General features: G+C 37.3%; 1 protein-coding gene across 1 annotated transcript in view; it reads left to right on the forward strand.

Moving 5' to 3' along the window:
- Positions 1–15572, forward strand: part of INSC (INSC spindle orientation adaptor protein) — a 158261-nt gene that overhangs the window by 141745 nt on the left and 944 nt on the right. The window lies entirely within an intron of this gene.

Genomic DNA, 15572 nt, shown 5'->3' on the forward strand with positions numbered 1-15572 from the left:
AATGCAACAAACAGAAGAAAATAAACTTTCTTGCTTAATAACAATATTCCACGCCCTTTGAATTTTTTTGCTTGGGGTAAGGAGGGCTGGGAGCAGAAAGTGTGTAAGTCTAATTTTCTAATATAAGTTGTAGAAAAGAATAAGAAGTGAAGATCAAAGAATGAGGGAATCGAGAGCCTATTCAAAGGCGTTGAGACACAAATGACACTACATAAGCTTCCGACGTAAGATCCTTCATGAGAGGACTTGCCCTCGGACGACCCACAGCTCCATCATGTCTTATCTCTGGCTATATTAAACCTCAGAATAATTACTGTCCCTTCAACGCTATCTTTTTGTAACACCCACAAACTCATAGTGTGGAAAGATGGTGTTACACATAAAGGAAACTTTATTAACAAGCAAAAGAAAAGGAGGAAGAAAAGGAAGTTGGACACTGAATGGAAAACTCAAGCCAAAGATTTGCAGGGTCTTTTTTTTTTTTAATAATATTCAGAAAGGTGGAACCTTTGAAAGGGAAAGTTTAAATGAGGAAAGAAGGGGTGACGTCAAGCCCTGGATGAGATTTACAGTTAAAGCCCATAGCAGGTGGGAGAATGACCTGTCCTGCCTCTCCAGGCTGTGCAGTTTAGGGCAGGCAGGAGACATGACTCAGTCTCAACTGATGAGACCCTCTCAAAGTCCAACTGATTTTAACAGAGATTTGGAGTGTAGACTGGGAACTTGGCCATATCTATGTTCTGGGTAAGAAGTCATAACAGGGACCCTGAGGCAAAGAATCCTATTCTGGAACTCAGAACAGGGAAGAATTGAAGGAGCCTTTCCTCAGCTCAGTGGCTCCATTTGAAATTCGCCTCAAAGTATGGAGCTAATGCTGATGGTATTTATTGAGTGCCTCCTACATGGAGTCATTTTACCAAGTGTTACCTCTCATTTTCACCTTTGTGAGTTGGGTGCTATTATTATATTTCCACATATACTCTCCATTACAGATGGAGAAGAGGCTTAGAGAGGTCAGGTAATCAGAAAGTTAATACTGTTGTGGGATAGAATCCATATCTCTTTGACTTTAGAAGCTAATTAGGAAGAAAGTAGGGACTTAGTACCAGACACTTTTTAGCAGCTAGATGTGGTGCTGGATCTTTGTAGAGCCATTGTCCTCCAGCAAACATATCATGAAGGTCTGCTCTAGGCTCAGGAAAGAAAAACAAATATAAGTAAGTGCCAGGATTACCTCTGATTTTAGATTAGAGGGTGGCAAGTTGTAGATAAGCCAATCCCTTCAGAAAAGCTTTAAAGTATAGTGGTTAAAACTGTAGACTGTTGTGGACTTGAATCCTGGCTCTACCATTTACTAACTATATAATCTTGGGCAAGACACATACCTCCCTGTGCCTCAGTTGCCTCATATGTAAAATGGGATAATGATAGTGCCTTAGGCATAGGATTGTTGTGAGAATTAAATGTGGTAATACATGGAAAAGACTTAAAATAGCACCTAATGGCAAGTGCTCAATAAACGTGGTTACAGTGAAAGTTAACCACATCCCACCTTTGCATCTATTCAGGTTGCCTGGTCCTGCTTGACAGTGCTTCAGATGCAGGCCCATAGTGTGTTAGAAACAGAGACTATTAATCTGTAAGGGATGCAGAGGCCATCTAGGCTGATCTCTACATCCTCCACCTAGGAAAGAAGAAACAGGCTTAAAATTACAGAGCAAATAAATGGAAAAGCTGGGACTTGGATCCAAGAAATAACACGTACTATTACCATAGTTGCCATTTTCTTGAGCACTTGTTCTGTGCCAGGCACTGTATATGTACTACTTCACTAAATTTCTAAAACAATTCCTGCTAAGTAGTTATTATTGATTCCTTTTTACAAATAAGGGAACTGAGGCTTAGAAAGACTTTACATCTTGCCTAAGATCATATAATAGAAGGCAGGATTTGATCAAACACTTTCTGAAACCAAAACCCATGATCATTCCACTTGGTACACATATATTTTATTTTATTTGTGTATAAATAAGCCCAATCACTATATATGATCTTAAAATACTTCGGCAAATTCCAAACTCTATTTGAAAAAAAGTTTACATTTTAATTAGTTAATTCTTAAGCACAGATACACAATATTTTAACACTTGTTAAAATTTCAGTCATAGATATGAAAATTATTTCAGGGAGAAGGAGAATAGGCATGAGAATAAAATATAACTTAAATAATGAAAATAAAAGTCCTGTGCAATTCTGACCAACACCAGAAAAATCTCTAAAATAACTACTCCTTATTCTAGTTTCAGAGTAAAGCATCAAAGACAAATCAAAGTGGATGCTATAAATTATCAGTTCAATTTTTAAAGCAATGACAGCCTTTGGGAACAAATGCTTTAACATGTCTTTTTGTTAGATATTTCTGATGGTTCCTTTGTAGAGATCTATTTATTTCTACAATCTTGTCTTCTTTAACACAGTTTTTATTGGGGCTTCTTATACAACTTTTGGTGCTATCAATAACTGATAAAAACAGAAATAAGAGGCTATTTGTATGTATGTATATGTAAGTGTGTGTATGTGTGTGTGTGTGTGTGTGTGTGTGTGTTAGTCTCGGACTTGAGGTCCTCAAAAGAAACTGTGCAGCCCAAATATAAACCCTTAAAGGGATTTTTATAAAGGGGTCTATAAAGGGATAATCTATAAAGGGGTATTTGTTTATTTTCAAATTTTGGCATCATACAGAAACAAGAATCTTCAGTTTGCCTATGTGGTTAACATGGCATTCTCTTGTAAACTCCACGGTCTCTTTCTTTTCCACCCTGAGATTGATTCAGTCCCACTGCAGACATATCCCACCATCAACTCTTAAAATAGACCCAGTTCTCACTTTGGTGCAAGCCATGATGATCATGCATGACAGCTGGAGCATGGGAGTCCCACTACATATGAATGAGTGTGTTTCTACTCACAGGGAAGGCAGGGGAAAGAGCAGCTTTCAGGGCATTAGCCCCATTTTGCAGGCTTGGCTGCTCACACCATTCCCAACTGCGCTGTGCTTTCAGCAGAATCCATGCATGACTTGAGGAACAAGGGTAGGGGAAGGGACATGCTAATTTTCAATGGTTTTTGAAAAATTTATTCTTTAAACCTCAAACTTGTTAAAATTTAATAATGAACTTACTTATACTTCTAAAGTACTTCTAAATTGAAAAGTTCACCATTTAGATGGTGCATCTTGAGAAATGTATCACATAATCCAACTGAGAAAGTTCACAGCCTCTTATCAGGTTGGCACTTTCGTATGGCAGTTCTTGGAGAAAATTTCATTTCATTTTTTTTTTTTTTTTGAGAGGGAGTTTCGCTCTGTTGCCCAGGCTGGAGTACAGTGGCAAGATCTTGGCTCACCGCAACCTCCGCCTTCCAGTTTCAAGCGATTCTCTTGCCTCAGCCTACCAAGTAGCTGGGATTACAGGTGCCCACCACCACGCCCAGCTAATTTTTGTATTTTTAGTAGAGATGGGGTTTCACCATGTTGGTGAGGCTGGTTTTGAACTCCTGACCTCATGATCCACCCACTTCGGCCTCTCAAAGTGCTGGGATTACACGGGTGAGGCACTGCACCTGGCCTGCAAGGTTGGCTGCTCTCTGTGACTAGCCATCAAAAGACAATGGGCTTGGTCTCCTCCCCAAAGACCAGTCCACAAGAGTAAAGGTGGCGGGGTGGACACTCACACACTTGATCTATGGCCTTTGCCTTCCTCCTAAATGTCTATCCCTTGAGCTTGGGACATTCAACTGTCATTCCAGGGCTCTCCCAAACCAGATACAAATTTTAAAGTTTCTTTATCAATTAAAATGTCTTATTTCTCTTGTTATTTAATGGTATTTTCCAACATTTAAGTGGCTCTCCTCTTATTGCCTGCTATTTCCTTAATGATAGAACCTGCTGAGGCCTGAAATTATAAAATTGCAAGATCAAAAAGTTCAGTTAAACAGCCACATGGTCTTGGCAAGGATAACAGAGAGCTCATTTAATCCAAGCCCAAGATGCACGTATCCATTATTATTTACTGATTGGAAGACATTTTGAACCTTGTATATATTTTAAATTTTAGTATAGAGAAGAGATTGGTAGTGGTAAATTCATAAAATAAAATACTATAAATAAATTTGAAAAGTTTGTCATCTAAGTATATCTCAACATATTGTTGGAGTAAGAAAAAGAAAGTGATAAAAGATGTACATAGTACAATGTCATTTATACAAAAGTTGAATATATAAAAGATACTAAATTATGTTTATGGAAAAATCATATGTTGTTAAAGTATTAATACATGGATGGTGTTATGAGGTGAATTTTACGCCCCCAAAATTCATGTTGAACTCCTAACCACCCCCCCGCCTCAGTACCTCATAATGGGACCTTATCTGGAAAAAGGGTTATTGCAGAAATAGTTAGTTAAAATGAGGTCATATTGGAGTAGGATGGGCCCTTAATGCAGTATGACTAGTGTCCTTTTTATAAGAGGAGATTTGGACATAGAGACACATGCACAGGGAGAAGACCATGTGAAGCTGGAGTTATGCCGCCCGGAGTCAAAGAACTACCAGAAGCTAGAGAGAGGCCTGGAGCCCATCCGTCTCTAGTGCCTTCAGAGGGAGCACAGCCCTGCCCACCCTTGATCTGTGACTTCCAGCCTCCAGAACTGCATGACAATGAATTTCTGTTACTTAAGCCACTTGGCTTATGGTACTTAGCTATGGCAACCCCAGGAAACTAAAACACATGGGAAAGATACACATGAACTTCAAGACAATGTCTACCCCTGGAGAGGTAGGAAAGGGAACAGGATTGAAGAGGAGCATATGAGACCTTTATTTCATTAATAATAAAATAAAAGACCTGCAGTATATATGGGAAAATGTTGCTAGTTGCTAAATTAGGTAGTAGACATACGGGTGTTTGTTATATTATTCTCTATACTTTTTAAATATATAAACTATCCCAAAATGAATCAAAAAGATATTCAGAGGAGTGTCTCAGCACAGCTAAGAACAGCAGTGTTGTCTCTGGTTGTTGGTTCTAAAGCTGTAATCAACCTAAAGCCCTGCCTCTCTTTCGTTATAAAGAAAGAGATTGCTGGGTCAGAGACTGAAGATGCTGAGAATCTATCAAGACCAGTTATGCAGAAGAAAACAGATAGCTGGCATAGAGAGAGATTTATTTTTAGAAACAGCCACTTTATTCACTTGTCTCATCCCTTGAAGGTTCTTTATAATTGTGACTGCATCGCTCATCCAGCTTTGGGGTTGAGATGTAAGGTCAGAATTTTACCAATTAGAGGAGTAGATCTTCATAGAAAAGACTGTCTCTGAAGCTAAAGCTCCTACAATATCCTGTCTAAAGACAGCTTGCCTGGGCAGTGGGTGATGTAATTTGATCTGTTAATACTTAACCAGGAGAGACTCAAGAATTCATACTGACATCTGCTGGACCCTTTGAATACTTCCTGGTGTAAGTTAGAACCAGAAATTCTGGAGCAGGAGAACTCCCAATAGGCCCCTTTAGGGACTCTCTGACCTGGGGCGGGTGTGTCAGCATGCTGAGATATGCAACTTGAAATCAAATTTAAGATCTTTTGCTCACTGCACACGTTTAGCATAATACAACCATGACAGAATGAGGCAGGACATCTAGGGTATAATTAACAATCACTATTCTATGATAGTCTCAGCAACACAAATGCCAATTTGCTTGTCAAATTCCAAAGAGAGAGGAAGGGACCATGTGGTAACAATACAAAACAAGGTCTTTGTTTTCAGGGCTCAACTCAGCAACTGCTCTGTTCTTTGTGTAGCAGGAAAGAAAATCTTGTCAGCTCCTGGTCCACTGGGCTCTAGATACAAAGTTACTGTGTGGACATCTTTCCAGAATCAAATTCCAATACAACTCAGTTCTCTGGATCTGTGGGGGAGTCTGTAAAGATGTAAATTGAGATCCAGGAGCCCAGTGGAGGAAGCTCAGATAACTAAGATAACAAGTTCCTTTGTTTGGGGCTTGTTGGATACACCCTATCAAAAGCTCTAGCAGTCATTAGATTTTGTTGCTGCTTAATAAAAACAAGAAAGCAAATTGTTAATAGCTGGAGTTTGTTTGACAGGAAAAATTTTTCCAAGAGTGGAACTATCTGAAAAAAATTAAAAGAATTCTATTGTGGTATGCATGTTGAAAGCTATTCTATAGATAATAATAGAGTTAAATATTTTCTCCCAAAAAGGAACTATTATGACAAAATAATAAAATGTTTCTCTTTTACTCCATACTCTCCTGATATAAGAAAGAGTTGTATGACTTGAGTTGAAATTGGATTTTTAAGCAACTTTCATTATTTTTGTCCACTTTTAGATGAGAGTTAGTTCTCATATTCTTTCTGTTGAAGAAACAGGATGAGGGAAGGAGATAAACATTTACTGACGTGCGAGACAGTTTACATGCATCTTTGAATTTCATTCCAAGATATTGTTATGCCCATCCTACAGATGCAAAACTTTTTCTCAAAGAGATTAGATGTTTTTCTCCAAATTTCATGACTATTAAGCAGCAGATTCAGGATAGGAATTCAGTTTGGTCTGACTTCAAAGCCTATGTTTGCTTTCCCTTACATAATATTGTCTACATCTGATTATAATTGCTGGGTTAAAAGAAAAATTACCAGATTTTACTTAGATTTTCTTTGCGTCCCTAAACAATTGAAAGTACACATAATCCCAGTGTTTAGACTTGAACCACCTCTCTGTACTCTGATGTGAGAGAGAATCTGAAGGTGAAAATGGCAGTATGATCAGTGGGAAAAAAAAGTGAAGGCCAAATTGATAGAACTTTGGTTTTATATCCAAGGTAGGCATGGATCCAACAGCCATGGAGCAGTGGAGAGGATCTTACCCAACCCAGCCTGCCTGAGGGAGGCCGACCCACATCCACAAAACCCTGAGCCCTGCTCACTCTGTTTTTTGTTTTTTTTGTTTTTTTTAAAGATGTTGAAGGCAAGTTTCCAACCAGTCCTGCTTTCCCTGGACACAGGATAGTGGCTGTAAATGTCATCTGGGTCCACCCATTTATTGTGCTATTGACTGGGTACCTGAAAAGACAACAGTAGAATGCAGTTGAGAAGCACTCTTACGATGAAATGTAATGATCTAATTTATTCATTTTGTAAATGTTTATTTAGTGTCTTTTTTTGATGTCATAAGACAGAATACAGGTATGGGGGTCATCTAGATCTGGATGTAAATCTCAGTCAGCCACTTACTATTTAACCTGAGGCTATTATTTAATATCTCTGTACTTTATCTATGAAATGAGAATAACATCAAGCTCACATGGTTGTTGTAAGAATTAGAAATAATATATGGGATGTGTCTAACACAGAGCCTAGTACCTTGAAGGTACAAAACAAGATGCAACTTATTATTGTTTTGTTATTCCTATATTTAAAATAGTTATTGTGTTATATTGAGGTAATAGAGATTATAATAGACCTGGGGGACAAATAAATGGAAGAATAGGAAACTTTCCCTGCCTTTGAGACATGCACATCTAGTCCTGGAGCCAGATGCATAAACACATGATGATGGGATGAGAAAGGTTTTGTGAATGAGGTAAGGGCAAGCTGCTCTGGGAGCACCTCTTATGGTTTACTATTAGTTAGCTTAAATATAATTATATATAGGAGCTACAAATTAATATAGAGTCTAAAGATATTGGGTGCCTGTGGCATCCACCAGTGGCTCACAAAGGTTAGGCCCTAAGCCAGGAATCTCTGGGCCAAAGGTGGAAATTAGGTTTCCTTTCATGCATCAACTCTGATAATTGATAGTGTGTTCTTGCATGACTTTGTTAGTGAAAATTCTGAGCAGAGAAGTTTGCTCACATTGTAGAAGCAGCATATCCAAGAGACTGAGAACTTGGCTTGTGGAGCCACACTGCTCTGTTGCTTGCTTGATCCTGGACAAGTTCCTCAACTTCCTTGTCCTTTAAGTGTCTTCATGTGTATGCCTGGTTCTGATCCAGGTTTTTTTCTGCCATATTCTGAGTTTTAGCTTTAGTTTTTGTGTGCTGGTTTTCAGTTCTTTCTATACCCCATACTAGCTGCTGTTATATTTTGGCCTTTGCTAGTTTATAACACTTTCTTATATCAGAGCTGATATGTAACAGCAAGGACTTCTCATTCTTTCTGTAATTGCTTAAATTCTAATCTTTAAAGTATAAAGTAACACAATATTGACCACATAAACTCCATAATCTTTGTTTTACTGCTTCAGGCATTTTAAATTAAGCACCTATTTTGAATTAGACACTTTATTATCTCTGGTACAATCTGACAAAGTTATATTTACAAATGAGGAAATAGAGGCTTAGGGAAGTTAGGTGGTAACTACTAAGTGGAAGATCTGAAATGTAAACTTTGGTATTTTGGAGTCCAAAGTTTGAGCTTCTTCCTTTCTTACTACATGCTGCATGCTAGAACTTATTGTTTTCAGCACTTGGTTCTAGCACAAGTTAAGATACAGAACTTTGAAGAATATTGAGAAAGATGGGAAAATTAGCGGGAAAATGGGGTAGAGCTCTCAGAAAAGAAATTAGCAATTAAAAATCAAGTGCACTCAGGGACTTAGGATCTAATCCACTTGTATACTTTTGTGCAGGTGTGAGAATCAGGCTGGACTGATTTAGGTTCACGTAATGGAGGTGAGGAAGATCAGAACTGCAGAGCAGGCATGGCAGGATATCTGGCCTAGTGGGAACAGTGGAACTGGACCTCAGGGAGGGGACAAGTAGAGCTAGCAGGCTGAAGCAGACAAGTAAGCCTATCAAAATACTGGAGTGCAAGACAGGGCTCCCACCTTTCTGGGTCCTAGTTCCTCAAAAGGTATCCCAGAGAGAGTAAAATAGGCAGGTGGCAGCTTGGCCTCCCCTTGGACAATTTATCTTGCAGAAGGGCAAGGTGCCTGGAGCTTCCATTTTCCAATAATAAGACAGAGATGAGGTACCCTGACTGACACACATTGAAAACAATGGAAAACAGTGAATAAGTTATATACAACATCTTATTAAAGACTTTAATGAGCTGGCAAGAGAATAAAAAACCATGAACCAAGCAAAACTGAAAATCCATGAGGCAAGTTTTTACCATAAAGGCATTTGATAAATCAGGTGGAAAACAGCCTTGCATAATACTTTTGGATGAAAACGAAGTCCAGAGACTGCTGGACATACTGAGTCCGAAGAGAAGCCCCCAGCAAAAAGTTGGAGCTCTAAAGGATTTTGTCCTCAGTATAAGGGTAAGTTAGAAATAAACCCAGTCATCTGACCCAGAAGGCTGAAAGGAAAACTGCAGGTCTTGATTCTTGGCACCAATAGAGAGAGGGGAATTTGTGCCATAAGATGGCCCTCACATGAGTTTTCAGACTTAATTTACATTATCTGGGTGATAAACACACACACACACACACACACACACACACACAAACAGTATCTCCAGCCCAAGAATTTTGATTAAAGTGGTTCTTTAATTAGTTGAAAGCACAGTTCTCTATGGAAGAAACAATTTCAAGGCCTCAAAGCATTTCCACAGACAAAGCTCAAAGACATAGGAACTCAGTCCAAAATACCAGTGAGAAACAAAGAGAAATACAGCACTCTGAGAAACAGAGGAAAAAAATCAGAAGAGCTAGACCTACACTGAATATAGGTATCTGACTCATCAGATACAGAATATGAATAAGAATATTTAATTTTTAGAGAAATACAAAGTGAATTCACAATATTTGCAAAGGGCAAAACTATTAAAAATGACCAGATAGATTTAAAATAGAAACAACGAAACTTCTAAAGTTAATAAAAAATAAAATAATTGAAATGAGAATCCAATAGATGTTTTTAAAAGCAGATTAGAAGCAGCTAAACAGTGAACTGATGAACTGGAAGATATATCTGAAAAGGTGTACATTTGAGAGTACTTGTGGGCAATATAGAAGAAAGATTAAGAAAAATTGAACACAGCGTTAACAGGTTTAATATGTATGAAACTGGAGTTCCAGAAGAGGAGGAGAGAATCAGGCAGAGATCATATCTGAAGATGTAAGGGCTCAAAAACTTCCAACTTTGGTGAATGACATCATCATCATTATCCCATTCAGAAACTGTGATGATTTGATGATTTCTCAGTAGGATAAATAAAAAGAAATCCATATGTGTAGATATAAAAATGAGACTGCAAAACATCAAAGACAATGACAAGATCTTAAAGGTAGACAGAGGAAAAAAACCAGATTACTTTAAAAGAAATGATAGTTGGAACAACAGCCAGTTTCTTAACAGCAAAAATGAAAGCTGTAAGTGAAATACTGTCAATGTATCGTACATTCATTTTCTATTGTTGTTATAATAAGTTATCACAAAATTTTCAGCTTAAAAACACACAAATGTAGTATCTTACAGTTCTGTAGGTAGGAAGTCCAGGTGGGCTCAACTGGTTTGTCTGCTCTGAGTTTCACAAAGCTGAAATCAAGCTGTCAGCCAGCTGGGCTCTTATCGGAAGGCTTTGGGAAGAATTCACTTTCAAGCTCATATGGTTGTTGGCATAATCCAGTTCCTTGCAGCTGTAAGACTGAAGTTCCTGTTTCTTTGCTGGCTGTCAGTGGGGGATAGCCATCAGATCCTGGAGGCCTCTCTCTGGTCCTCTATCTAGAGCCAGCAATAGAACCTCAAATTCTTCTCATGCTTGGAATCTTTTGATCTTCCCTTTTGCTGTATCTCTATTCTGCTGCGGCTACTGCTGCGTATCTCTGACTGAAGGCACAGAAAGTTCTCTGCTTTGAAAGGCCCCTTTAGTTAGATTGGACCCACCTGGATACTCCAAGGTACTCTTTTTCAAAGGTCAGTAGCCTTAATTACATCTACCAGTAGCCTTAATTATTCCTTGCAGCAGTAAGACTGAAGTTCCTGTTTCTTTGCTGGCTGTCAGCGGGGGATAGCCATCAGATCCTGGAGGCCTCTCTCTGGTCCTCTATCTAGAGCCAGCAATAGAACCTCAAATTCTTCTCATGCTTGGAATCTTGATCTTCCCTTTTGCTGTATCTCTATTCTGCTGCGGCGGCTGCTGCGTATCTCTGACTGAAGGCACAGGAAGTTCTCTGCTTTGAAAGGCCCCTTTAGTTAGATTGGACCCACCTGGATACTCCAAGGTACTCTTTTTCAAAGGTCAGTAGCCTTAATTACATCTACCAGTAGCCTTAATTATTCCTTGCAGCTGTAAGACTGAAGTTCCTGTTTCTTTGCTGGCTGTCAGCGGGGGATAGCCATCAGATCCTGGAGGCCTCTCTCTGGTCCTCTATCTAGAGCCAGCAATAGAACCTCAAATTCTTCTCATGCTTGGAATCTTTTGATCTTCCCTTTTGCTGTATCTCTATTCTGCTGCGGCTACTGCTGCGTATGTCTGACTGAAGGCACAGGAAGTTCTCTGCTTTGAAAGGCCCCTTTAGTTAGATTGGACCCACCTGGATACTCCAAGGTACTCTTTTTCAAAGGTCAGTAGGCTTAATTACATCTACTAGTAGCCTTAATTACATCTGCAAGTTTTCTTTTGCCGTGTAATGTAACCTATTGATAGGTTCCAGGCATGAGGGTGTGGACAACTTTGGGGTGGCAGCATTATTCTGCTGACCACAAACTAACAGAAAGTAACTATTTGGAAATATTTTTCAAGAATAAAGGGAGAATGACACTTTTACATTAGCAGTAACTAAGAGAATTTGTCACAAAACAACTCTCACTAAAGAAAATGCTGAAGAATGTGTTTTAAGCAGAAAAAATGTGACCCAAGAAAAAAGGTCTGAAATGCAACAAGGAATGAAAGGTAAAAGTGTTGTGCATTGTATAGATCAGTAGTAAATGCTTTGTAGATTAAGAAAAATAAGTTTAAATTAAAATATGTGACAATAATGTTTAATTGAGTGGAATAAATGTATTCTAAGGTCTTTATATTTGTTCCTTGAATGCAAATAGACTTATTGCGAAGAATGTACTTCAGGCAGAAGACATCTGCAGTGTCTGCTGGTCATCAATCAAATTTCTTATTTTATATATGTTATGATTTGGAATAAAGTCATGCTATCTTCTTAATAAAAGTTATATAAGTTTCTGGAATAATTTGTAAGATAGAAATATTTTGAATAATCAGTAAAATTTCTCAATAAGATCATCTAGTGTTCTTTATGGGAAGATTTTTAGAAGTACCAATTCAATTTATTTAGGGATTATTGCACAATTCACCTTTTTTTTTTCTAGAGTCAGCTTGGGTAAATTGTATTTTAATTCGTGTTTCAATTACTTATTAGCATAAAACTTTCAAAATATCCCTTTATTACCTTTTAAATTCTACTGAGTCTGAATTATGTACTATTACTCATTTCTGGTATTTTTGGGCTTTTATTGTTTATATTGATCAAGCTTGCCAGAAGCTTGTAAATTTTACTAGTTTATTTAAAGTACTAATTCTTGGTTTTGTACATTCTCTCTATTATATGTTAATTTTATATTTCATTAAAAAACTTTATTTTTCGGTATGGTAGGTATTTTCAGGTATATGTTTTTAAATTGTTCTTGCTTTTTTTTTTTTTTTTACTTTTAATCTTTCTGTATCCTTCTATTTTAGCATTTTTTTCAGTCATCATAGTAAAATTTTCCTAAAACTTAAAAGTACATGAAATCCTTTGCCTCAGTGAAATTTTCCAAGAGTCTTGTGGTTCTCTCAGGCTAGGAGTTTCTGCAGATACTCATAGTGACAAAGTCCATTGAGCCTGAGACCACATGCATATTTGCTCAAGATTTGACATGATTTCCAGGAATAGGGGATGATGAAGCAGAATATAGGATTGAAATCTCAAAATGCTTCTTAGATGTGGAGAAGAAGTAATCTAACCAAGAGTTAGTTTTATTTTTAGGGAATATTTGTATTTTTGGAGAAGAGAATAAAATAGGTTAAAATAAAGACCTTTCTAGAATAAGATCAAGATCAATATGATGTGATCTCAAAAAAAAAAAAGTAACACTTTGCACGTTATTCAGGATTTGAATTGCAAGGACATGCACCAGAATAAAAACATTTCCAGATGTCTTAGGAACTGCATTGGCCTTCATAGGGATCTATTAGCAACTTTAAGGTCACTTATTACTAAATAGAGACTTCTTGGTTATGTCCATCATCTGTGAAGAATGAATTACTAAATTTTACAGAGAATAGACTAGTAAAGACAAGAAAAACATTTCTTAAGTGGGTAGAATGAGGTGCTGTAAGAAAGGCAAATATTTTTCCTATATACCTTGGCTACTATAGCAGACTATATAAAATCCTGTGTCCAAATTAGAAGCTATCTTATTATGCACATCTTTTTGGTAGAAGTTGTAGTTGTACCCAAGATTGTAGTTGTACCCAAGATTGGTGAGCAATGAAATGCTCCAGCACACATACAAAGTGGAAAGTTTGAACACTGCTTTCATCATAAAGTGGAAAAGGTCTCTGAAGAAAGGTATATTTTTCTTCATATATTTCAGAAGTTCCAATTTTAACATCCAATCCACTTTCCCAACCACTTCATGCAAGTTTCCCAGGTAAGTTTAGAAAAGAAAGATTTCATGGTTGGGTTGAAGAGTGGAAGATAGGAAGACACTCAGAGATGATGGGCTATATGCTACATCAGTCTCTATTAATCAGTGAAGCAGAAAATAGAAGCTATTATTGCATGTTTTATTCCTTTGTGTAAATTCGGATTTCTATTTAGTATCATTTTTCTTCTGATTGAAGACCTTTTAAAATTTCTTGTAGCATATACATCTACCAGTGTTGAATTCTTTCAGCTTCTGTGAGTCTGAAAAACTATTTCTTGCAGGATGTAAAATTCTTGGTTAACAGTTTTTTTGTCCACCATTCCTCTAGCGCCAGTTTTGCTCCACTGCCTTCTGGCTTGTATTGTTTCTGATGAGAAGTCTGCTGTCATTCTTATCTTTGCTCCTCTATATAATGTGTCTTTGATCACTTGTGGTTTCAAAATATTTCTCTTCATGATCTGTCTTAAGCAATTAGGTTATAATATGCTCTATGTATTTCTGATTCACTCATTCTTCTCTCACTCAAGGACTCCAATTACATGCCTATTGGGCTGAATGAAAATTTCCCACAGCTCACTCATACTCTATTCATTTCCCCCCAGTTTTTGTTAAAATTTTATTTTATTTTGAATAATTTATATTGCTATGTCTTCAGGTTCACTAAAACTTTCTACTGGACTATCTAGTCTGCTGTTAGTGCTATCTAATATACTCTCATCTCAGACTTTGTGGGCTATATCTCTAGATGTTCAATTTGGGTCTTTTAAAAATATACCTATCATGTCTTCACATGCTCTTTCTTCTACCTTCTTAACATACTCTACCTTCTTGAAGATATAGTGTATATTTGTAGTAACTATTTTAATATTGTTCTATGCTAATTCAATCTTCTATGCCATTTTCAGATCTGTTTCTATTGATGGAGTTTTCTTATTATGGGTTCTAGTTTCATGCTTCTTTGCAAGGCTAATTATTGATTGGATGCAAGACATTGTGAATTTGCTTTAGGGGTACTAGATATTTTATCTTCATATAAATATTTTTGAACTTTGTGTGGGATGTAGTTAAGTTATTTGAAAACAGTTTGATAATCTTCAGAGCTCTCTCTCTGTGCAGCTCTCTCATCACTGATAATCTGCCCTATCAACTCTAGCTGCCTTGGCTTCTTGGACTCCTAATACCATCTTCTCAATTCAGGAAGACTACCAACCTCTGCCTGCATTCCACCTCCTTGCACTGTAGCCTGGAAACACTCATTAGGTTGTCAGATGGTACAATCAGAGGTCTCACTTAATTTGTTTTCTCTTTCTGAGAGAATTTACTGTCCCACACTGATGATGTCCAGTGTCTGAAAACAATTGATTTGTATATTTTTCCAAGATTTCAATTGCTTCAGGTGAGAATCAAGTCTAGTCCCTGTTACTACATCTTGGCCCAAAGCAGAAGTTGCCCTTCTATTAATTACAAAACTCAGATATTCACTGACTATAAAGAAACTACTTTAGTCAGAAAATCCTTTCTTGCTTTCAGATTGTCTTTCAACACATAATAAAAATCTAATTGACATGTTTTAGGTGATGACTATGAAATAGACTCAGACTGTTCCATTTAAATAGATATGATTCTCGATCAGTGAAGGATCATTAACTGTTTTCATGCTGGAAACAATTAGATTCAAGAATCTGAAAATCAAGATGGCAGAAGTTATAGTCTCTAAAATGACAAATAATATTTTAAAACAAATGAATTGAGATATCAGCAATTCCTTGACCTATAAAAAGTGTTTGCCTTCACTTGTCTGGAAGAAACAATGCTGCTGAGAAAGAATTTGCTATGGCATCAAGAAATTAAGTACTTTAAGCCCCATGCTACTTGTTGTTCACATCAGGATTGGCCAAATTAT

The sequence above is a fragment of the Homo sapiens genome, chromosome 11 (genome assembly GCF_000001405.40).
Source record: "Homo sapiens chromosome 11, GRCh38.p14 Primary Assembly".
In the NCBI taxonomy this organism is placed as follows: Eukaryota; Metazoa; Chordata; class Mammalia; order Primates; family Hominidae; genus Homo; species Homo sapiens.